The following is a 24,971-nucleotide window of genomic DNA, read 5'->3' on the forward strand; positions in this document are numbered from 1 at the left end:
AGAACTAAATCTTTGCCTCACACATGGAAAGAAAAGAAAAAAGAAAAAGAGAGAGAGAAAGAAGGAAAGAAAGAAAAGAAAGAAAGAAAGAAGAAAGAAAGAAAGAAGAAAGAAAGAAAGAAAGAAAGAGAAAGAAAGAAGAAAGTCAACGTGTTTCTGAAGAGAAGGCCAACCCACATCCCCTCCAAAGTGCATCAAGGGAGTCCCTGCAGGCAGAGCCAAGATTCTCTTCAGGAGGAAATTTGAGAGTTCCCTAACAGGGCAATGAATGGGTAACTGATTCCCTACAATTCCACATCATAAAATGCAACGGCAATAAAAATAGCCCAGAAAAAATGTAAAGCAGGCATGTAACTATATATCTTGTTTGGCTACACATACACATAAGCATGTGCACACACACACATACCTGCGGCCCATCTAATTTTGAGCAATAAGCCCTGTTAAAACTGGTTGTGAAATGTACACCCAAAGTAACTAAATGATTTATTGTTTATCATTATTTCCTATAAATCTCCCTAAATTTGGGGGATTTCCATTAAAATGATTATTTCAGATCCAGATTTGGTAGCCCTTGTTTCTGGATGTCATTAGATAGCAGTATTCATTGTCTACTAAAACTACTCCTAGTCCATGATACCCACATCAGGTTATTTGCATCTGAGAGAATGCTTGACCTTCTGTGCTCCACTGCAGAGCAGGGTGGCGGGGCCCTACCATATGCAACAACCTGCAGGGCACAGATACTGATCCTTTGGAGCTGATGCTGGTCAGTGGCCTGCACTGTGCCTAACAGTTATGTGGGTCAGTAGGAAAGCAAACTCATGGGCTATCTCAATATGGTTTCAAGTTAAAAATAAAAGGATCCAGGGCACATCTTTGTTTTACCCACTGGAAATTACAAGCAGGATAGTTCATATTTTTCCTTATATATTGTGTCAAAGGCTGGAAGAGGATCAAGAAAAGTCACAAGCCATTTAATATGATTTTTGGCAGGTGTTGTCACAAGATTATATAAATTACAACAGATGACTATGTTCTCAGCCTGTGAGCTGTGAATATAGGTCAGGCTTGCAAATTATTAAGCAAAGCCATGCAAATGGACGTTGCTTGCACATGCTAGAATAGGACGACTAACTCATTCTGGTTTGGCAGAGATTTTTCTTATTTTAGTACTTGTCTTAATCCAATAAGTGTTGCTATAGAAGAATACCTGAGGCTGGGGAATTTATAAAGAAAAGAGGTTTATTTGGCTCACAGTTCTGCAGGCTGGGAAGTTCAAAAAGTATGGTGTTAGCATCTGCTCAGATTCTGGTGGGGGCTTTTTGTGCTATGTCATAACATGGTGGAAAATCTCAATGGTGAGTGGACACGTGGGAAGAGAAAAAACCCAAGGGGCATCCTGGCTTTACAACAACCCATTCCTGCAGGAACATTCCCACAAGAACTAAATCCAGTCTCATGAGAGAGCTGGAGTGCACCAAGTCATTCATGAGGGATCTGTCTCTGTGACCCAAACACCTCCCACCAGGCACACCTCCCAACACTGCCACATTGGGGATCAAAGTTCAACATGAGTTTTGTTGGGGACAAACTCAAACCATAGTAGTACTGACTGTCCCAAATCCTGTGAAACCCCTGGGTCCCTGGCAAACCAGGAAGGTTGGTCACCCTTGCTGGAGGCCTTCCTCCCAGGTGATATCCCTTAGCTGTGTATTCACATTTGGGGGTGAGGCACAAAACACTGACTGCAATGTCTGTGGGGGAGCGGGGCTTGTTGACTGATGGAGCTCACCACAGAGTGTCTGAGCATCAGGTCAGCTCCTCATTGAGGAAACCAGCACACATCAGCCACTGGAGGCCCTTTGTGTGGGACATTCCTTTTCTCCACAAATGAATCCTCCGGACTCTGGCCTGTAGATTGTAAATTAGGTTGCTCACTCTCTGGGGACTGGGGTCCCATCATTCAATATGTAGATTGTGGTTTAATCCTTGTGTTTAAGCTTGACCTTACCTCCTCCTCCCAAACCTGTGTGGCTCAGACCTCCCATTCTGCAGTTTCTTCGGTTCAATTTATATGACAAATAACTCTCCTTTCTCCCCTGGGTGGAGGGGACCCCTGGCTGAAGAGGGTAGAGAAAGTGGCCTAGGGTTTCCACTTATGCCTCTGTTTTCCTGTTTACAGCCTCACACTGTACCTCACCTCTTTAAGTGTGGATCCTTTCTTAGACTCTGGGGGTGAAGTAGGGAGAATCCGTTGGCTTCTTCTTATTTTCTCCCTCTGGGGCATCCAAGTGAGAACATGCACCATTCTGCCAAATTACCATTCCTTTGTATACTATCTCCAAAATACGTGTCCAAATTCTTGGTTGCTGTTTTCTCCTCTCCTGTCTCTATTGTCCTTGAAGAATTTTACCTGTGCTCTTCCTCTACTGCCATTTTATTAGGATTTGGGGAGGGAGAGGAAATAAATTTGTGTTGCAAATCAACCATGTTTCATTGGACATCCATTTCTCTAGCAGTCTCTCTCTTGGTAACACCCAGTGGGTGGATGTTGGCACTTCTGGAACTATCTTCCATGTCTATTATCTTTTCTTTTCTTTTCTACTTTCTATTTATTTATCCAAGTCTGCTGTTTTCAGGGAGGATTCCAATCTTTCAGTTCACCAATTATCTCTTCAGCTGCATACATTCCACTCCATAGCTCATCCACTCAGGTGGTTTTATCTGTTTAAACTATGAATATATTTTTTGATTTTTATTCCCATGATCAGTAATACAAAATGAACACATTGTTCACCTCTAACATCCCTAATTGATTCTTTTCCATCCTTTCTTATTTGAGAATATTCATTATACTTACTTCAAAGCACATTACTGGTTGTCTATTTGTTCTGTTTAATCTTCAGATCTGGAGCCAGACAGCTGAGGTTAATCTGTGGCTTCTTATGTTAAGCTATGTGACTTTGGAAGAAGTTACTTAATCACGTGACACTTCAGTTTCTTCATTTGTAAAATGGCAATAAAAATAGTCCTACCTTAAACTCTTATAAGGTAGGACTCTTGTAAGGTATTCATGTGTCTATTGCAAACATAAAATAGTCCCACTTTATGTTTGCAATAGCGCCTGACACATAAATGCTCAGTAAATATTAGCTATGGTTATTATGTTTCCTCAGGTGGAAGTCTCCCTTTCATGGTGGTACTTCTCAAATGATATTTTTTGACAGTGGACTCATCTTTACGCATGAGATTTTCTGCAAGAAATCTGCTGGCCTAGCTTGCTGTGAGGGAGGGCTGGAAATCGCTGGATGAGCTTGTGCTCCATGTTGCTTTCAAGGAGAGTGCAGAACAGGCAGAGGCACTATCAGGTGGACCAGCTGTGCTCTCACAGCTGGTCTTTGGGATGTGGCTGCTACTTAACTCTTCCTTGGCTTTACCAGCCATATGGGGCCCTGTCCTGTCTTTCATTCCTAACACAGTTCATACCAGGAGACAGACACTGCTGTCCTGGTCATCTTGTCTGCCGGGGTGGGGTTGAGGGAGATATTCAGGGTCAATTCATCTAGCTCCTTCCACGGGGATACTTGTTTAACCCTCTGTCAGTAGTCCTTTGGTCCTGTCTTGTTCCAGGCATTCACCACCTCTGGGCATGGAATGCCTTGTTGCTGCTCCCACTATTGTAATATATACTGTAGTATATACACACAAGGATACATGTAGTATGTCCTTGGCTGCTGCTCATGAGCTGGGCTGCAGTATCAAATCAGATCCTGTCTGCCTTTGGCTTCTCAGAAACGTGTCAGTGCTTCTGATTCTCTGAACATTTCCTGTTAACTTTCTGAGAACACTGATTTTTTCCTTCTCTGTCATTTCTGGAGGATGGGCCTGGGTGGAGAGATGGCAGCATGCGCTCAGTCCACTATCGTGAAAAGGGAAGTCAGAAAATGTATAGAAAAGATAAGAAGTAAGCAGAATCTTGGGGAATGAGTAGGAGCAGCCAAAGTGAAAAGAGGAGAAAATGCTGTTGTAGGCTGGGGAGACAGCTTGAGCGAAGGTGTACAGATGGGAGACCACAGGGTAGGGTGAGGGGACACAAGCAATGCGATGTTTCAAGAGAGGCAAGACTTGTAAGAAAGAAGCAGGGCATGATAGTCTTATGTATCAGGTTAAGGGGCTTCACTTTATTCTGGAGAGCCTCTGATGGTTTAAGAAAGTGACATAGGCTGGGTGCAGCGGCTCATGCCTATAATCTCAGCACTTTGGGAGGCTGAGGTGGGAGAATCGCTTGAGTCCAGGAGTTCAAGACCAGCCTGGGCAACATACTGAGACTCCATCTCTTAAAAAAAAAAAAAAAAGGAAAGAAAGAAAGTGACAAAGTCAGATATGCATCTTATCCACTGTGGAAGTTAGATTTGAGGGGTGTGAGACTAGAACCAAGAAAACCAGTTAGAAAGCTCCTGCAGAAGCCCAGGCTGGAAACTACAAGGGCCTGAAAATTACCACAGCAGTATGTAAGGGATGGAGACAAGGAGTCAGATTCAACAAATATTCAGGAAGCAAAATCTATGGATAAGGAGGATTTTCTAATACTGTTTTCTTTAAATATCATAGAAAGGTACTTCAACCTTCTTCCACTGTGACCATATGCTTCTTTCTTTTCTTTTTAATTGCATTTTCTCCTTAAGTCGGCCATATGCTTTTTAAAAATTTGCAGAAGTAAGCTATTTTGACTGCAGATAGTTAATCCCATTGGTACTAGCATGTAAATTTTTATGACTATAGTCAAAGTTGAAAATATTTCTATCAAGTTTCATATATGAGCTGTAAGATTACTGGGCATTTTAAGTTTTCTGCGCAGTGTCTAATCTTAGTACTTTTCAAATTGATAGAAGCATTATCCAGTTTATCATGGATGGTCTTGTTGTAATAGTGGATTGAGTTTTATGTTGTCTTTGTAGATGTTAGTATTTCATATCAAGTTATAAAATTTAATCTTTCTTAGTGTGCACATCTAGAACTTGTGGACTTCATTGGGATAAAATACATCAGACAAGCTAAGATGCAATCAGATACAGTGAGATGCATAAGACATCTCATTTCACACAAAAGCATACTTCTATTTGCAATACTCCTCTAGTTCTGCCTTACTACACAGGAGCTCTAACAAAATACATTTACTGAAATTGCTCAAAAAAGACATATTTATATGTGTGTGTTATAAGTGTCTATATTGCACTATTGAGTATGTTCTCTACAGGAGAGAACTTCCATTTTAAATAGGCATGGATGTGAACAGGCTCACATGCTTAAAACTCTATACATATGATGGGGGAGAGAGTTTTCCATAGACTAGTTTCTGGCTCCATACTTGTTTCTCCTCCACTGCTGACATATTTCTGAAAGCAGGTGTTGGGGAAATGTTTATTATTTAGATATCATCTCCGACCCTGCTGGCTGAATCAGAACAATATTCCTGGAAGCCATTCCTACGCTGGAAGACTAGCAGTAATGCAACCACACACAGAAGTGACTGTAAACTACATAAAGCTGTCTCATGCCAAGCCAGATCCTAAAAATGCCTATGACCACTCCAACATGAGGGGCACAAGGAGCAATGAGATGGAGGGGAAATCAGAGTGGAAAGAGCCAGCCATCTTAACTACAGTCAAGTGCTGCACGAGGACATTTCAGTCAATGACAGACCATGTGGGACCCTGATGGTCAGGCAGGGGCACATGACAGGCAGGCGGCAGGGGCAGGAAGGACTAGCAGCTCTTCCCTGGCTAGCAGCGGGGGTTCTGCCTCCACCTGCCTCCCCAGGACAGAAGCCAGATGAGCTGGACCATGATGGTCCCTTCAGATTATCATACCATATTTTTCCCGTACCTTTTCTGTGGTTAGGCATGTTTAGATAGACAAGTACTTGCCATGGTGTTACAATTGCCTAGCATATTCTGTACTGTAACACGCTGCAATGGCTTGTAGCCTAGAAGCGATAGGCTATACCAGGCAGCCTAGGCATATAGTAGGCTCTACCATCTAGTTCTGTGTAAGTACACCTGATGACGTTTGCACAACAACAAAGTCACATAAGGATGCATTTCTCAGAACACATCCCTGTCATTAAGCAATGCATGACTGCATTTGCACTTAAAATCGCTTACTTTTGCAAAGTCTGTAAAAACATATTACCATGTCAAACATTGTTAAAGCCTCTCCCACCACGGCCTTGTAAGGAGCCCATGCAAGCAAGAGGCCCTGCAGTTTCCTGGTGAATCCATCTCTACTGACAGCATTTGAAAGATGATTCTGGTAGAGAGAAATACAGTTGCTGTCAGATCTCTAGCTGGAATGGCTTGTCAGAATGTGGTACCCCAGTGGGAGACAGAACCCAGGAAAAAAGGTACTAGTAGGCTGGTATTTATTGATACATCTGTAATTCTAGTACCACCCTCCTATTAAAGAAAATTCAAACAATCCAAAGGAATGCAGGGAAAGAGAAAAAAGAAACAACAAGAAAGCATATTGTACATGATATTCAAAATTTCAGTGGTGTGACCTGTTTGCTGACTAGTTAGAATCTCGGAAAAGGTCCTAGAGGGTCTCCCTGTCACAAGCATTGACCAATTTTTTGCCAGATCAGAAGAAGGTCAGGGGTGGGGGCACTGTGGGGGTCTCAGGGGAGTGGCTATTTACCAAGAAGGATGGAAGAATTCCAACTTGTAATAATTGATAGGGTTTTACCGATGTGTTCTAGAGCCTGCTGCTGGTTGTGTGGCCACATGGCTGGAGTTAGAGTCCCAGCTCTGGCAGAGGAGGCCTGGGTGAGGTTTGCAGGGGCTGAGTTCCTCTAGCTCAGGCCGTATAAGTAGCACAAATTCAACTTTTTATATTTATATTAATACTTACGATTTTTATATTAACGCTGTCCCCTATATAACCAAGTGTTTTCAGTCACAGTTCTTTGAGATGAGTGTTTATTTGAAGCTGGAGCCTTTATTTGCTCACAGTCGCTGTTTCCTAACAAATAATACTCCAGCACCCACCTAACAGGTCCTCTGGAATTAGTAGACTTGAAAGCATCAGTAACACACCACGTGGTTTCAGAAGACCCTACCTACAGTTGGGAATCTGACAGGTGCATGATGTGGACTCCCCACAGGGCTCACAGGTCAAGGAACACGTGCTCCCCACCAGCAGAAGGCAGGCACTGGACTGGTGCATGTGGAGTGGGGCCCTGTTGCCTTGTAGGTGTGGGACATTTCAGCATGGGTCAAGTGTTCCCCACACCAGTCCCTCTGCCAGGGCCTCATGTGGACCACCCTAATTTATTGCCTTTTCAGCTCAATGAGGTAGATACTGTTGGCATCTCCTGTTTACAGACTGGAATCTGAGGCTCCAAGAGGCTTAGGGACATGCCCAGTGGCCTGCCCATGCTGGAGTCCCTCTGTCTTCTCCAGAGCCTACCCTTGCCCCCTGCACTGCTGCCCGGTGTCCTTGTCCATGTCAGAGTCTGCTGTCCCCTCCTCACTGTGTGCTTCCCGCCTCTAGGCTGGCACAAGGTAGCTACTTGGGAAATACTGGCGAAAGTTGGAACAAATGAATGAAGGAAGGAATGAAGTCTACATGGTCGAGGAAGTTGGGTGGCACAGGCTCAGGCCATATTTTGGAATAGTCGAGCCTTCTTGAAATCTAATGTCTGCCCCCACTTGACTGTTTCACGCAATTCCTTAAATTGTGACTATAGCGAAAAAAAGAGATGATCAATCCTGAGGTGATGATTTCCCTTAATAGCCCCTTGAGATATGACCCCGAAGGCTCAGCTGGAGCTGCAGGGAGATGCCAACTGCATTGTTCACTGCCAGCCTGTAGGCTCAGAAGGGGGTGTTGGCAGAGAAGGAACCTCCCAGCCCAGGAGTCAGACTTTCCACTGGGAGCAGCCTGGGAAGCTTGCAGTCAGCTGAAAGTTCTCTCCCAAAACAGCATATGTGGCAGGTGCGTTCCCTAACTCCTGCAAGGTGACTTCAGAGCAGCTTATCTGGCTTCTGTCCTGGGGAGGCAGCTGGAGGCAGAACCCCAGCTGCTAGCCAGGGAAGAGCTGCTAGCCCTTCCTGTTCCTGCTGCCTGCCTGTCCTATGCCTCTGCCTGAGCACAGCTTTGTCTGGAGATCCTAAGCCCTGGCAGGGCTTTGTGCATGTGGTTCTAAAGGTGTCTGAAGCCCACTTCCCCAGAGAAAGAGACAGACACCATGAGAAGCTCCTCTGCCCAAGGCACCATTCCTGCTTTGACAGATACTCACACTCCAGAAGGCTTGTCGGAGGCATGCCAGCCACATTTGGTCCTTTCCTTTGCTCCGGTCCCTTTGTCTTACCTTGCCATCCTCCCTATTTATTCATGGAAACACCGCTGGAAGCCCCCAGGAGAAGACTCATGCTAGGCTGGGTGGATGCAGGGCAGCTGCAGTAGGTGGAAATGAAGCAAACCTAGAAGATTCCTACCCCAGGCTCCTGGATGTCCTGCTGAGGGGAGGGCCAGAGTGTGTTTGAAATACCAGCCTCATTCGTGCTCATACACAACATGCTTCAGTGGCCCTGCTCACCATACACCATACACCATCCACAGAGCTCAGGAAAGACATCACATTCATTCGTGAGCCCAAAGGCATTGGGGTACAAGCCTGATGGGGTACAAGCTAAATATTGTCACATGCCACTAACCACAGGAAGTGTCTCCTGCCTCACCCAAAGACTCTGCTTGTCCAGGCCCCTACAGGTAGAGTTGCCAGGTAAAATGCAGAGCACCCTGTGGAATGTGAACTTCAGATAAACATTGAATAAATTTTTGGAATAAGCGTGTCCCAAATACTGCATACGACTCACTGAATAAACTACCTGTGTATCTGATATTCAAATTAACTGGGCATCCTATATTTTTATTTTCTTTTTATTTTCTTTTTTTTTTTTTTTTTGAGACAGAGTCTTGCACTGTCACTGGGGCTGGAGTGCAGTGGCACCATCTCGGCTCATTGCAACCTCTGCCTCCCAGGTTCAAGTGATTCTCCTTGCCTCAGCCTCCCAAGTAGCTGGGATTATAGGCACCTGCCACCATGCCCCGCTAATTTTTTTTATATTTTTAGTAGAGATAGGGTTTCACTATGTTGGTCAGGCTGGTCTCAAACTCCTGACCTCGTGATCCACCTGCCTCGGCCTCCCAAAGTGCTGGGGTTACAGGCGTGAGCCACTGCACCCAGCCTATATTTTTATTTTCTAAACCCAGCAACCCTAAGATTATTGAGCCATCACCGGTGTAGATAATTGAGGAATAACTAATAGCTATTGTCCATGACTCATTGTTTGGTTCCATAGGCTTCTAACTAAAAAAAAAAAAAAATCTTACCTGGACTATTACATAATGACAGCTGTTCAGGGAAGTCCCCCAGCATCTACTCCTACAGATCTCAGGCACATCTTTGGTATATTCACCAGAATGATCTTTCTATGAGAAAAATATGACAAGTTCAGGCCTAAATTCAATATTCCTTTACAGTTTCCTGTGTCTCTCATGAAAAACAAAAACAAAAGCTTACTGTGTTCACAAAGGCTTTGTCCCTGGAGCCCTCCACAACCCTCCTGCCTCACAATGGTTCACCGTAGGTTTCATGGCAGATGAAAGAGAGCGAACCAGAGAAGGTCAGTGTGCATTCACATCCCAGGCCCAAGATGGGAGGAGGGAAGGGGTGCCCGGCTCAGTCCTTTCTCCTCCCTCCTTAACTGAGCTCCTGGGGTGGAGCTAAGAAATGAGATGGAAAAAATATAAATGTCATAAAAGGACAGATCAAATTTCCATCCTTCATAAATATAACTATTTATCTATAAAATATAAAAGAATCACTGGCTGGGCAAGGTGGCTTATGCCTGTAATCCCTGCACTTTGGGAGGCCGAGGCAGGAGGATCACTTAAGGTCAGTTCAAGACCAGCCAGGCCAACAGGGTGAAACCCTGTCTCTGCTAAAAATACAAAAATTAGCCAGGCGTGGTGGTGCACACCTGTAATCCCAGCTACTTGGGAGGCTGAGGCAAGAAAATCACTTGAACCCGGGAGGCAGAGGTTCCAGTGAGCCAAGATTGTGCCACTGCACTCTAGCCCAGGCAACAAAGAGAGACTCTGTCTCAAAAATAGAAATAAAAAAATAAAAGAATCAATTATCTTAGAAGTATTAATATTAGGAAAAAAATGAGAATCCAAAAAGATGGTTGGGTATAAGATGAATAAAAAATAAATCAAGAGTTTTTCTCATAAACCAGCAATAGTTAATTTAAAATATGATAAAATAGTAACAATAGCAAATAAATGCATAAAGAAAGTAAAAATAATCCTCCCAAGAAATGAGAAGACATAAATTTTCAGAGTCTTATTTACTTATGAAGTTCGGAATACACACGGTCCTGGATTTATGGAGGCTTGACTTAAAATTTATAGACTTCACATTGGTCCAAAAGCGATGTGAATTCAGGAGAAGCCACACTTCAGGTACACATACAACCATTCATTCACCTCCAGTACAGTAGCCAATAAATTCCATGAGATAGTCAGCACCCTATTATAAAATAGACCTTGTGTTAGATAGTTTTGCCTAACTGCAGGCTAACATAGGGTTCTGGGCATGGTTAAAGTAGTCTAGGCTCAGCTATGATGTTTGGTAGGTTAGATGTATTAAATGCATTTTCCATTTAAGATATCATTTTGCAATGTGTTTATCAGGACCTAACCACATCATAAGTCAAGGAACATTTGTACATGCTTCTCCTTGTTTTTCTCTTAATTTACGGGAAGGCTCAATAATGTGTGTGCTGGGTCCCAAGCACATGTGGAATGGTGACCAGATTAAAAATTATCATTCAGAAAAGAATCAGAAATTATTCCCCTCATTCTCATCTGATTTTGTGGGTCTTGATCCAGAGCTTGCCTCTGCCCAAGAAAAGCAGTAAATCCACGAGAGAGAGTGTTCGCAGGTGTGAGGGTGGGAGTAGTGGGAGCCTTTCTGGAGGTGGGACACATACGTGGCTGCCTCCTCAAGCAATTGGGGACATTGTCTCAATCCTGCACAGCCCTGGGGTATGGGGCAGTGGTCCCATTTCAAGCCGACATGAGACTAGGATGGCTCACTGAGGCCTGGAACTGAGCCCTGAGTGCCAACATCACTGCTGGGCTGCAGAAATCATTCAGGTGGCTGCGCAGAGGACGGAAGGCATTATATCCCCACCCACAAATGCACCACATGGATTCAAGATGCCCATGTGTTCTTCCAAATGGTGTCTGTAGCTCCCCAACCTCCAGCAGCATCATAGCGAGGAGAGCAGGTTGCCCCTCCCATCAAACAAAGAAAGCACATCCTGAGATTGAATTTTCCAATCTTGAGGAAAGTGGGGGCTCAGAGCCAGAGTTCATTTCATTTACAAAAACAGAAATGTGATGTTTCTTGGAACCAAAGCTATGGAAACTCATGTGAACACACTAACGATTTATTATGCTTAAATCATCTTTATTCAGCTCAGGGGTGGGGTGGCTGGGAGCATGAACTTCAGGTCCAGGAAGATGGGTTTGGATCCAGTCTTTGCCATTTGCTCTCTGAAATAACACTCAAAACATTTCACTCCTCTAAGCTTCAGTGTCCTTATAAAAAATTGGGTAAACAATACTGGTCCCGTGACATTGTGTAAAGATTGAATAGTACATAATAAACTGTATTAAAAGATTTTGTCAAGGTGTGTGGCACATGGTATGTGCTCGGTCAATAGCCTTTGTGTGTAGTAACGGCTCTGGTAGTAATTTTGCTAGCTGGAGAGATGGTAATAATTGTGACAGCAACAAGTATTTTTATCCCCATTTCACAGATGAAGATATAGGCTCAGGGAAAATAAATAAATATCCCCAAGAGTCACCGGGTACTGTGCCCACCCCAAGACACATCCTAAGACCTGGCACATGTTAATTTTAATGATTATCTGGGTGAATGTATTAATAAAAGGGGAAAGTGGAGCCGGTGGCATGGGGGGTGGTGTGAATGCCCACCGAGGTCTGAAGTGGGGTGCAGATTTGTTCATCAGCAGAAAGTTACTCGGGTCATGTCTGCAGTGGGGGGCTCTTCCCTAGAGGCCTTGGCCGGCTGCCTCCAGGTCAGGGGGCTGAGTTGGCATCCAAAGACTCAAAGGAGTGAATCGTACATGTCAGTCACAGGGTTGGCTTGGGCACCACCGTGCTGGGGCACCACTGGGCCCTCTGACCACCTGGAGAGCCTGACCAGGCCTGCCACAGAGACCTCAGAGTGCCAGAGAATCTCCACTGTGTCCTTAGCTCCACACAGTCAGGGCTTCCCTGAAATCTGCCTCTCTCTGTCATTATGCTTGGCCGGTACTGCTCATCCTGATGGCACTGGGCAGGCAGTGGGCTGCAGAGGCAGAGCTGAGGGGACCAGGAGGCAGGCACTCTGTGTGACTTTGGAGGATCCTTCTACCCCAAGGCCTCACTGCTGCCATCTGTAAGTGAAGGAACTGGACCAGATGGGGAATAAGGAGGCCTCCATCTCATGCCAAAGGCCAAGGCTAGGAGTGGCTGCCTGGGGTGCAGTGCTGGGATGGTTTGCAAGGGGAGTGTCAAGGCTGGTCAGTGATTATGGGGAAGAGTCAGGGCCCATCAGGGGAATGAAGTGGCTAAGGGTGCCTCCAGCTCTAATAGCCACAAGTGAATTCTGTTGAAAGGGAGTTCTAGCATCTCACAGACCAAGTGGATCCTGGGGATGGAAACTGAAGGCCAGACAGGATCCTCCCTGTCCCATGGCCTAAATGCCTCTCAGAACTCACAGATGGTCAGTCGGGAGTACAGGCAGTTCCTGTCATTCCACTGCCCATCTGTGTACATCTCCACACACTGCTCTTTTCCCCGACCTGCAGGCTCCCCTCGGTACCAGTTGGTGTAGTTTACAGGGGTCCCATCTGAGTAGCGGAAGTCTCCAGGGCTGGGACCCTCAGTCAGGCCTACATAGGCATATGTGTTGTACTTCTTCACGAAGCTTGCAATGGCCTCATTTTCCTCTGGATTCCTTGGGACAGCAATGCGGCCGCCTGCTCTGGCACATGCCTCCTGAATGGCATCAAAAGTGATGGACTGCCCATTGCTGGAGAAGACCTTCTCTCCTACTGTCATTATGGAGCCCTGCAGACTGAGGGCTGAGAGCAGAGGAGTCCAGGTCAGGCCACTGACCACTTTGTCTCTAAGCCACCTCCCTCACCTAGGGTCTCTGCTACCAGATTCTCCCCAGTCTCTCCATCTCTGCCTCTCTCTGTGTCTTCTCTTCCTCTTCCAATTGCAGTTTTCTAAATTCACTTTTAGACTCTCCTCCATTTATTCATTCATCTAAGTAACAATTACTTATTGCCAGAAATGGTGCAATTTCCTAGGATTCAGTGGAAAGCAAGACAGGCAGAGAACTTGCTTTCTTATGAAATGGGGAGTGAATTGTGTCTGCTTGTCTCCTCTTGGCCATTCAAAGACATCAGAAAAGCAAGCATCATTCCTTTCCCCAACACCTGCATGTGCACGCTTGTTTGTCATCTCTATTCTAGAAGGTGGTGCTGAGAATGAGGGGAATTTGTGGGAAACTCCTACCCCGTGAGGCCCAGGGGGTCCCCTTACCTCCCCTTGTCTGCAGGATTTGATGTCTGAAGTCGTGGAGTGTGGCTTGGAGCTCCTCATCTAGATGAGCTGGAAGCCCTGTGGAGAGTGCCCCACACAGAAGGAGGGGCAGGCCAGTGAAGACTCCCACTTGCTGCCACGCAGGCGTTTTGCCATCTGCAATCCTGGAACTCTGCCCTTTCATTGCTGTTAGGCACCACCCAGACCCTAGGCTCAGAGGGTCCACGAGATTCCAGTGTGTCTCCACACCCCGTGGTCCCCTATTCTTTAGTGAAGCCTTGCCCCTGCTGAGACCCCCACCCCTTGTCCTCTTTCCTGCTCTGTCCCTCGAGGGGTTCTGTCTGCCCGCCTCTGTGGGGCAAGTCCCTCTCCCGCACCCTCCACCAAGGGCAAGCATGATGCTCTCTGCACTGCCCTGATGGACTTGCTTACCGCTCTGAGCTTCAAAGTTCCCCTCTGTCTGTGGGGCTCCTGATCACACCATCTGCCTGGATGCCTCGTCCGCATTCACCCTTCAGACTGCCCCCAGGGCCTCCATCCCAGGACATGCCTCCCCTGCCTCCCAGTGCTGTCCCTCGTCCCACACCTGACTCAGTGTGTCCCCATCAGCGGTCATGAGGCACGGAGGACTTCCCACACCTGCCCTTCTCTGAATTGTGACCACACTCCCCAGACACCTCGGCTTTCTCCCTCAAATTCATATTCTCTTACTTAGGTTGAGCCAAATGCCCTTGGGGAACCTGCAGGGTTTGTCTGACCCCCATCACCCCTGTGTAACTGACTTCAGGTCGCTGTGCCCATGTTTCCACTGCCCACCTGCCCCGCCCTGCTCACCTGGAGGGCCTCTCTCGCCAGCCTCCCCCTTCTCTCCACGCTCTCCAGGGACACCAGGGGCTCCAGGCAGCCCATTATTCCCAGGAGGACATGGTGTTTCTCCAGGCGGACCCATGGGGCCTGCAGAGAAAAGAGACATGGATGTGTAGGATCTGTCACCCACAACTGGTTGGAGCTAGTGAGACTCGATGCCCATTATCACCGGGGCTGGCTCAGCTATCACTCCGTGGGCACTATGAGGACAGACTCTCCAGGATGCGCCATCATAAGGGCCCCAGGAACCCACCACCCCTGCAGACTGAAGTCCCACCCAGCTTACTATAGCCCCCAGCTCACTATGGCCCACAGCCTAGGGGCCTGGACAGATGGGCCTCCTGAAAAGGGGTCTGTGTCCCTCAGCTGAGGGTGGGGTCTGCAGCACAGTACCTGGAGGGCCAGGGTCTCCTTTGACACCATCTCTCCCGTCCCTGCCTGGCAGGCCGTGGGATCCAGGAGTGCCGGGGATACCAGGGCTTCCAACACAAACGTCCTTCACTTCGCACGCAGCACCAGAGGCTGCCATCAAGATGAGGGTGAGGGCCAGAGGGCACAGCCACATGGCTCTGGGTCCAGTCGCTGCTCCTGCCGGAGGGATGGCCGTGAGCCCATCTGCCACCTCTGCCAACATCTCCCCCACTGTGCTCTGTCAGGACTCAGGAAGCTGGGCAGAGCCCGAGAGGCAGGGCGGGCGAGACCAGAGTGCTGGGAAGACCCGAAGCACCCGGGAAAATTCCAAGCATCACCTGGCACCTGGCATGGCCTCATGCTTCAGGCCTCCGGCTGGAGGTTGTGGGGTCTCAAGACTGCTGAGGAGGAGGAAGAGTAAGGAGCTCTGGGGAGCCCAGGGACCTGGGCTCCAGTGCAGTCTCCTTTCTTTCAGTGCCTCACTATGTTACCCTGGGAAACTGGCTTCACCTCTCTGATTTCAGCTGAATCTTCCATGCTCTGCAGAAAACCTGCCCTGTCCCTCCCAGGCTGTTAGAAGGAAGGATGAGGTCACTCACTCACTGACTCACTCCATCTGTCCCTCATATGCCCAGTTACCTTCTTTTCAGGCTCCAAGAAATCAGCGACCTGAGAATGAAAAGAGATGAATAGGGCCCACAGCCTGGACCCTTCAAGGTGATCATCGGGGGGTGATGACCCTCTCACAGTCAGTGATGAGGTCTTCCTTCCTCTTGGGGTCTGTTCTCCCACTCCCCCTGCTTAGGCCCTGCTGAGTCCCTGGTAGGGATGGATCTGGCCAAGGAAGATATCAAAGCATGAGGGTCTTTGTAGGTCATCCATGTTGACCATGCTGTGAAACACCTCCCAGTGGAAAATGGGGAGTTGCCCTCCTTCCCAACCTGGGCCTTGGTCAGGCCTGTGGCTGCTGGGCTGGTCCTCTCTGCCTGCGATCCTCAAGCTGGAGAACACCTAGGGGATGTGGCTAAACTCACCCACACACAGAGCCTCCAGCTGCTTGGGTCTCTGCCTCCAAGTTAGAGCATAAAGGTGGACAACAGAATTTATAGCATGTGGGCTGCCAGGCTTCTTCCCCACCCCTGAGAGCTCTACCACAAAACCTGTTCTCCAAGCAGGAAATAGGCATAGTGTTTACACAGCACATTTCCCTGCAGAACACTCAGGCTGCAGGAATACTTAGGACCCTTGAGGGGAGCACAGAACCTGGTAAAGAAAAATACCAGGTCTGTAAGAAGAGAAATGCCTCACTGGCTAAGGTCACCCACTCTGCACTCAGGGAGCTCCACTGGGTTCCTGGTTTAGTTTCAGACAATGAAGAAGTCACTGCTTCAGCTGAGGTTGGTCAGGTTGATCCAGGCCAACCTGTCTGCCCTGTAACCTTGCTCAGCTCTGAGCCCCAGGACCCCCAGCCAGTGTCTCTGGAGCCTGCAGCCGAGTTGGTGGGCACATGGACAGAGTGGCAGGCAAATATGCTGCACGTTCCACTTCCCTCTGCCCTAGCAGGTTCAGCTGGAGGAGTCAGGGCAGCACCTGGAAGGTCATGGGAGAGCTGCAGTTTCTGTCTTTGGTAGAACATCACTTTGGGTGATGTCTGGCAACCTGCAATGGTGATTATGCTAAGTGTCCCAGTGATATATGAAGCCCTAGTTGTTAGGGTCCTGGTTTGAGCATCTGGATTAGGAGGGAATCTCCAACTGTGGAGGTGGTAATGATGGGAACCCAGACAGGAAAATCTCCCCTGGCTTATTTGGAATTGGTTTGAAAAATCCCAAACCATTGAGGAGTTTGGAGCTCTTCCAGGGAGCGGAAGCTCAGACAACGGACCCCACTCCCAGGAGCAGGAAGCTGGGCAGTGCCAATTTGTAGCATGGAGTCTTTCAGCTGCCCCAGTGCTGTCTGCCACACCATGTGGTGGGTGCTGGGCCAGGTGTGGAATGGGGGAGTCAGGCCAGTGCAGGTTGGGGGCAGGTGGGGCGAAGCTCCAGCAACTTGGCTGTGGGGAGGCAGGGCTGTTTTGCAGGTGATGAGCAGGAACAGAGGCCAACTTGGATGTGCAGGGCCTTGTGGTTGGCAGGGCAGGGCATGGCTTTAGGGGAAAGGCACACCTGAGTTTTGACCCAGAGCTGTCACTTATTAACCAGGTGGCCTTGGTCAGTTTCATTTTTCATTTTATTATTCTGAAACAACATCAAAATTACAGAAAAATTGCCAGTATCGTACGACTTTTTTTTCCCCTGAACCTATGAGAGTAGGTTGTCAACATGAAACCCCAACACCCCAATACTTTAATGTGTTTTTCACGCAAAGGCATTTTTGCATTATAACCGTAATCAAGAAATAAACACGGATACAATAACTCCAAATAGCCTTCAGGCCCTATGCAAAATGTACACAATGCCCCAATAGTGTCCTTTATAGCAAAGGATCCGTTTCTGAGCCATGTGCCTTATTCGGTTGTCACGCTTCTCCAGGGTCCTGAAACCCACAAAGTCCCTCTGTCTTCCCTTCACCTTCATGACCTGAACACAGTGTGAAGATCACAGGGGAGTTACTGTGTAAAATACCCCTCACTTTGTTTGTTTGTTTGTTTGTATTGCCTTACAGTTAGATTCAGGTTCTGTAACTTCGGCAGAAATACCATCGACACCCGGCTGCGCTCTTCTCCCATTCTACCCGGCAGCATGTGACTTTAGTTTGCCCCAAGACTGATGATGTTCGTGTTGATCATTTAATTAAGGTGGTGGGTGTCACAATTTGCCACTGCAAATTTATTCTTTTTCTGATTTTAATCAGTGACTATGTTGTGGGGACGCACTTTGGGACTATTGTAAAGATCCCATCCCTCATCACGCTCTTTGTTGCCCTTTGATTGATTTGTAGCAATGTGGACTCGTGAGTGAGGCTTGCCACCGACCGCCAGGGGGAACCATGCACTCGCCTGCGTGCTGCAAGGGACACTATCCGAGTTTGATGTTGAGACAGGTACAGTTTACCAGCACATGGCACCAGCAAATCTAAAGAATGTAGTTAAGAAACACAAGCTTGTCATTCTTAGCACTAAGAATTGCTGCAGTCCCTGCTGAGTTCCGAGTGTCCAAGCCAGGCCACTCTGCCGCGTCCACAGCCTCCTCCCCCTGCTCAGGCCCCATTGCCCTGGCCGGTCCGCTCTCCTTCAGTGCCCTTCTCACTCTCCTAGGGGCTTCAACCCCCATGCTGGGCCACCTCCCTCTGCGGGGACATCCTCTTCACACTGCCAGGCCCTGGGTGCCCACGCGAAGCCACCTCAGAGTCCACAGTCTCACTGCACTCCGAGTCCCACTCCCTGTGGCAGGACCCCCTCCTCACCCAGTGTGACTGAAACCAGGAAGACGACGCTTTTTAAGACTGAAGGGGCACAGAGTGGGAGCCATGCACCGCCCTAAGAACAGCCCACGGGGGTCTCTGCAGATTCGAGACCTCTCTCTCAGTGCTCAAGGGACTCTTTCCTTCCCCTTTCTCCAGCTGCACTGGGTGCTAGCAGTGGGAAGAGGCTGTCTGTGGCTGCTAGAGCTTTCCCGTCGTTTTGGATCATTGCAGCACTCTATGAGGCGTACAGAGAGTAAGTAAATCCCCATTCCATACTTCAGTCAACTGAGGCTGACAGGGGTTACATGGATTGCCAAAATTACCCAGAAATCCTCTTTCCAGCTCAGTCCTCTGCTAGAACCTTCCCAGAGTCAGAGGGATGTGCTTAATCTACCTGTACCTGGAGACAAAGAGATGCATAAATAGATTTACTAATTATGGATATATTTCAAGATCACTTCTACTGTCAGAATCTAAGGGGCAGCTCAGCCACATTAAGGGAATGGAAGTTGACGCTTCTTTTCCTTGATGCAGCCAGCATACTAAGCAATTATGTGTGTATGTATTATAAATATATGTACACACATATATTGTGTGCTGTATATTTACACACATATCTATATTACATTGGCACATCTAATAAATGTCACTGCATTCTTAAAAAGCATAACACAATAAATCTTTCTATGACCTAGAAATGACAAATTTTAATTTTCATCAACACAGCCCTCTCACCTCACTACCCTGAGCATTTTGAGTCTTCCAAACCCCAGAGAAACACGTCATGTTTTATTAAGGCTTTGAGGTGAGGGAGACAGTTTTTCCCATTCTGCGCCTTGGAGGAATTGAAACTGGCAGATGGCAGCAACTATCTCCAATGAAATAGGCTCAGGAAAACACACGTGCACATACACACACACACACACACACGCACACACACACACTGACTTTGCATCAATAAGACCATACTGCAGATACTCTTCTACAATAAGTGTTTTCTCTTACATACCCCAGCCATATTTTCAGATTGACACACAGGGATATAATTGTTAACTATAGTCTTTTCTTGGGGTTTGCTTGTTTTTAATTTGGGTGACTTATTCTTTACTCTTTTTAATTTTAAAAAATTTCTTATTTTTAATGGACACATAATTTTATATATACATGGGATATAGTGAGCTATTTTGATACATGTATGCAATAATCAATGATCAAATCAGGGTAAGTTGTATACCCATCACCCCAAAAGTGTATCAATATTTAGTGATAAGAACATTCACAGTCTTCTCTTTTACCTCTTTGAATGTATATAATGAGTTATTGTTCACTATGGTCACCCTCCAGTGCTCTAGAAGGCTAGAACTCATTGCTCTTGTCTAGCTATGATCTTTTGTCCATTGACCAAGCTCTCCCCATCCTTCATTCTCCTGGTTTTCCCAGCCTCTAGTATGCTCTGTTCTACTGTTTACGTCTGTGAGATTAACTTTATTTTTAGCTTCCACATATGTGTGAGAAGATGCTGTGTTTAACTTTCTCTTCCTGGCTTTATTTCATTTAACATAATGGCTCATCCATGTTGCCATGAATGACAGGATTTCATTCTTTCTTAGGGCCGGACAGTATTTCATGGTGTATAGTTATCGCATTTTCTTTATCCATCCATCCATTGGTAGACACTTAATTTGATTCCACATTTGGCTATTGTGAATAGTACTACAATAAACATGGGAGTGCAGATACTTCTTCAACATACTGAGTTCCTTTCCTTTGAATATATTCCTATGAATACTGAGTAGTGGAATTGTTAGATCATATGGTCGTTCTATTTTTTGTTTTTTGGAGGAATCTCCCCTCTGTTTTCCATAATAACTGTACTGCTTTACATTTCCACCAACAGTGTATAAGAGTTCACTTTTCTCTGCATCCTTGCCAGTATTTATTAGTTATTGTCTTATTAATAAGAGCCAGTCTACCTGGGGTGAGATATCTCATTGTGGTTTGATTGACATTTTCCTTAGGAGTAGTAGTATTGAGAATTCTTATTTTTATATTATATCTATTATTTTATTTTAGACAGGGTCTTGCTCTGTCACCCAGGACAGAGCGCAGTGACACAATCTCAGCTCACTGCAGCCTTCACCTCCTGGACTCAAGCAATCCTCCCAACTCAGCCTCCTGAGTAGCTGACACTATAGGCATAGACCACCATGCCCGGATAATTTTTTATTTTTGTAAGCATGAAATCTCACTATGTTTCCCAGGCTGGTCTCAAACTCCTGGGCTCAAGCCAACTTCCCACTTCAGCCTCCCAAATTACTGGGATTACAGGCAAGAGCCACCGGGCCTGGCCAAGCATTTTTAATATACTTGTTGGCAATTTATATGTCTTCTTTCAAGACGTGTCTGTTCAGATCATTTGCCCATTTTAAAATTGTATTATTTGGATTTTTTTGCTGTAGACTTGTTTGAGTTCCTTGTGTATACAGGATATTAATTCCTTATTGGATTAATAGTTGCAAATATTTTCTCCAATTCTGCAGGTTTTCTCTTCACACTGCTGATTGTTTTCTCTGCAGATGCTTTTTAGTTTGATATAATCCCATTTGTTTATTTTCGCTTTTGTTGCCTGTGCTTTTGAGGTCTTTCATAAAATCTTCACCCAAACCGGTGTCCTGAGGCACTTCTCCTGTGTTTATTTCTAGTAGTTTCATAGTTTTGGGACTTACATTTAAGTCTTTAGTCCATTTTGTGTTGATTTTTTGTATGTGTGAGAGATAGGAGTCCAGTTGCATTCTTCTGCATATGAATATCCAGTTTCCCCAGCATCATTTATTGAACAGACTGTTCTTTCCCCCAACATATGTTCTTGATGCCTTTGTCAAAAATCAGTTGACTATAAATATGCGAATTTATTTCTGTGTTCTCTATTGTGTTCCATTGCTCTATGTGTTTATAACAGCACCATGCTGTTTTGGTTATCATAGATTTGTAGTACATGTTGAAGTCAGGTAGTGTGATGCCTCCAGCTTTTCACTTTTTGCTTAGGGTTGCCTTGACTATTTGGTGTCTTTTTATGGTTCCATACAAATTTTATGATTGTTCATTCTCATTTTGTGAAGAATGTCATTATTATTTTAATAGGCATGGCATTAAATCTGTAGATCACTTTGGGTAGTATGGTTATTTTAACAATACTGATTCTTCCAATCCATGAACATGAGATGTCTTTTCACTTTTTTGTATCCTCTTCAGTTTTTTCTTCAGTGTTTTATAGCTTTCATAGTAGAGATCTTTCACTCCCTGGTTACATTTATTCCTAGGTATTTTATACTTTGTAGCCATTGTAAACGGGATTGACTTCTTGATTTCTTTCTCATGTAGTTCTTCTTGATGTATACAAATGCTGTTGATTTTTGTATGTTGATTTTGTATCCTGCAACTTTACTGGATTCATTTATCAGTTCTAAGAGTGTTTTTGTGAAGTCTTTAGGATTTTGTCTTTTTAAGATCATGTTGTCTGCAAATAGGGACAATTTGATTTCTTCCTTTCCTATTTGGATACGCTTTATTTTTTTCCCATGATTAATTACTCTGGCTAGGACTTCCTTAACTATCTTGAATAAGAGTAGTGGGCTGGGCGCAGTGGCTCACGCCTGTAATCCCAGGACTTTGGGAGGCCAAGGTGGGAAGATCACCTGAGGTCAGGAGTTGGAGACCAGCTTGGCCAACATGGTGAAACCCCGTCTCTACTAAAAATACAAAAAAATTAGCCAGGCATGGTGGTGGGTGCCTGTAATCCCAGTACTTGGGAGGCTGAGGCAGGAGAATCACTTGAACATGGGAGGCGGAGGTTGCAGTGAGCCAAGATCACGCCACTACACCACTGCCCTCCAGCCTGGGTAACAGAGCAAGACTCTGTCTCAAAAAAAAAAAAAAAAAAAAAAAAAAAGAGTAGTGAAAGTGGGCAACCTTGTCTTGCTCAAATTATTAGCGGAAAACTTTCAAATTTTCTCCATTCAGTATGATGGTAGCTGTCGATTTTTTTGTATATGGCCTTTATTGTGTTGAGGTACTTGGTTTATACACCTAATTTGTTGAGGGTTTTTATGATGAAGGGATGTTAAATTTTGTCAAATATTTTTTCTGCATCTATTGAGATGATCATATGTTTTCTTCTTCATTCCGTTGATGTAATGTATCACACTTATTGATTTATATATGTTGAACCATCCTTGCATCCCTGAGATGAATCCCACTTGATGATGATTGTATTTTGGATGTGCTGCTGGATTCTGTTTGCTAGTATTTTGTTGAGGATTTTTGTATCTCTGTTCATCAGAGATATTAGCTTGTACTGTTCTTGTTGTTGTTGTGTTTATGTCTGGTTTTGCTGTCAGGATATCAGGATAATGCTGGCCCCATAAAATGAGATTGGAAGAATTTCCTCCTCTTCAATTTTTTGGAATAGCTTGAAAAGAATTGGTGTTTTTTGTTCTTTAAAACTTTGGCAGAATTCAGCAGTGAAGGCATCTAGTCATGGACTTTTCTTTGATGGTAGACGTTTTATTATTGATTCAATATTGTTACTAGTAATTGGTATGTTCGGGTTTTCTATTTCTTCCTGGTTCAGTCTTGGTAGGTTGTATGTGTCCAGGAATTCATCCATTTTCCCTAGATTTTCTCATTTGTTGACATAAGTTGTTTATAATAATGTTTAATGATCGTTTGTATTTCTGTGGTATCAATTGTAAGTCTCCTTTTTTGTTTCTCATTTTTACTTATCTCAGTCTTCTCTCTTATTTTTTTAGTTAGTCTACCTAATGGTTTGTCAATTTTGTTTATCTGTTCAAAATACCAACGTTTCAGCTCAGTGTAGTGGCTCATGCCTGTAATCCCAGCACTGAGGCCAAGGCAGGAGGATCACTTGAGGCCAGGAGTTTGAGACCATCCTGGGCAATAAAAAAAATACTACATCTTTTAAAAAAGAAGAAAAAAAATCTTAGCTGGGTGTGGTGGCACATGCCTGTATTCCCAGCTGCTCAGAAGAATGAAGGTCTCTGGCGCTCATGAGCTGGAGGCTGCAGTGAGCCATGACAGAGGCACTGCACTTCATCCTGGGTGACAGAGTAAGATGCTCACCCCAGAAAAATACAAAAACAAACAAACAAACAAAAACCTCCCCAACTTTTCATTTTATTGATCTCTAGTCTGTTTGTTGTTTATTTCTGCTCTGATTTTTCAAGTTTCTTTCTACTAATTTTGAGTTTGGCTCTTTTTCTTGCTTTTCTAGTTCTTTAAGGTGCATTATTGTTTTATTTTTTTGAAATCATCTACTTTTTTGATGTAGGCATGCAACGCTATAAATTTCCCTCTTAGGTTTTGATATGTTGTGTTTGTATTTTTGTTTCTTTCAAGGAAATTTTTAATTTCCGTCTTAATTTGTTTATTCACCCATTGGTCTTTCAGAAGCATATTGTTTAATTTCTATGTATTTGTTCAGTTTCCAAAGTTCCTCTTGTTATTGCTTTCTTGTTTTATTCCATTGTGTTCATAAAAGGTAATTGAAATGATTGTGATGTTTTAAAATTCATTGAGACTTGCTTTGTGGCCTAATATATGGTCTATCCTGGAGAATGTTCTATGTGCTGATGAAAAGAATGAGTATTCTGTAACTGTCAGATGAAATGTTCTTCAAGTGTCTGTTAGGTCCATTTGTTCTGGAGCACAGATTAAATCCAGTGTTTCTTTGTTGATTTTGTGTCTAAGCGATCTATCAATACTGAGAGTGAACTGTTGAAGTCCCCAACAATTATTGTATTGGAGTCTGCCTCTCCCTTTAGCTCTAATAATATTTGATTTCTATAGTTTGGTTTTCTGGTGTTGGGTGAATGTATCTTTACAATTGTCATATCCTTTTACTAAATCAATCCCTTTGTCATTATATGTGATCTTCCTTGACTTTTCTCACAGCTTTTGATTTAAAGTACATTTTATCTGAAATAAGTATAGTGACTTCTGCTCACTTTTTATTTCTATTTGCATGAATTTTTTTTCATTCATTTACATTCAGTCTATGCATGTTTTTACAAGTCATGTAAGTTTCTTATAAGAAGCATATAGTTTGGTCCCTTTTTTTATCCATTTAGCCAGTCTATATTTTTTAATTGAGTAATTTAGTCTGTTTACATTCAAGGTTATTGTTGATAAGTGAGGATTACTCTTGTGATTTAAACAGTTGTTTTCTGATTATTTTGTCTCTTCTTTGTTACTTCCTCTCTTATTGTTTATCTTCGTAGTTTGTTGGTTTTCTGTAGTGATAAATTTTGATTGCTTTCTCTTTCTCATTTGTATGTTTTCTCTACCAATGAGTTTTATACTTTCACATGTTTTCACAAAGGTAGTTATTTTTCCTTCACTTCCAGGTATAGGAGTCCCTTAAGGATTTTTTATAAGGCTAGTCTAGTAGTGATGAATTTTCTCTAGTTTTGTTTGCCTGGGAAAGTCTTTATTTCTCTTTCATCTCTGAATAATAGCTTTGCTGGGTGTAGTATTCTTTTCTGACAGTTTTTTTTCCAACACTTTGAAAATTATCT

The 24,971-nt window shown here is 44.7% G+C and overlaps 1 protein-coding gene across 11 annotated transcripts, besides 2 other annotated features; it reads right to left on the reverse strand.

The window, feature by feature from the left end:
- Positions 11,496-16,051, reverse strand: SFTPA2 (surfactant protein A2). 11 transcript variants are annotated; one of them, XM_047425705.1, is made up of 7 exons: positions 16,008-16,051; positions 15,573-15,642; positions 15,312-15,371; positions 14,956-15,150; positions 14,530-14,649; positions 13,696-13,773; positions 11,496-13,229 (listed from the first exon to the last, which is right to left on the reverse strand). In XM_047425705.1, the coding sequence occupies exons 3-7, from the start codon at positions 15,331-15,333 to the stop codon at positions 12,853-12,855; spliced, it is 792 nt and encodes a 263-aa protein (XP_047281661.1). In that variant the 5' UTR covers positions 15,334-15,371; positions 15,573-15,642; positions 16,008-16,051; the 3' UTR covers positions 11,496-12,852. The 11 variants fall into 11 exon arrangements, with proteins under 11 accessions (XP_047281661.1, NP_001092138.1, NP_001307742.1 ...); NM_001098668.4 differs by lacking the exon at positions 15,312-15,371 and having other exon boundaries at positions 15,613-15,642; NM_001320813.2 differs by lacking the exon at positions 15,312-15,371 and having other exon boundaries at positions 14,956-15,153; positions 15,613-15,642.
- Positions 12,433-12,933: an enhancer, noted in NCBI's record as "H3K27ac hESC enhancer chr10:81316545-81317045 (GRCh37/hg19 assembly coordinates)". NCBI's record gives its function as "activates a minimal SCP1, AML or CMV promoter by ChIP-STARR-seq in primed H9 embryonic stem cells {active_cell/tissue: H9 hESC(primed)}" and the evidence as "EXISTENCE:reporter gene assay evidence [ECO:0000049][PMID:30033119]".
- Positions 17,732-18,245: an enhancer, noted in NCBI's record as "H3K4me1 hESC enhancer chr10:81321844-81322357 (GRCh37/hg19 assembly coordinates)". NCBI's record gives its function as "activates a minimal SCP1, AML or CMV promoter by ChIP-STARR-seq in naive H9 embryonic stem cells {active_cell/tissue: H9 hESC(naive)}" and the evidence as "EXISTENCE:reporter gene assay evidence [ECO:0000049][PMID:30033119]".

Source organism: Homo sapiens, chromosome 10, assembly GCF_000001405.40.
Source record: "Homo sapiens chromosome 10, GRCh38.p14 Primary Assembly".
Taxonomy (NCBI): domain Eukaryota; kingdom Metazoa; phylum Chordata; class Mammalia; order Primates; family Hominidae; genus Homo; species Homo sapiens.

Bases quoted from the DNA above. Each gene is read 5' to 3' on its own strand.
- SFTPA2 (XM_017016608.2), bottom strand. From the start codon at position 15,600: ATGAGGGACAGATGGAGTGAGTCAGTGA. The intron at 13,774-14,529 runs GTGAGCAGGGCG...CACTCTCCACAG, and splicing joins TGGCGAGAGAGGCCCTCCAG to GGCTTCCAGCTCATCTAGAT. The intron at 13,230-13,695 runs GTAAGGGGACCC...CTCTGCTCTCAG, and splicing joins AATCCTGCAGACAAGGGGAG to CCCTCAGTCTGCAGGGCTCC.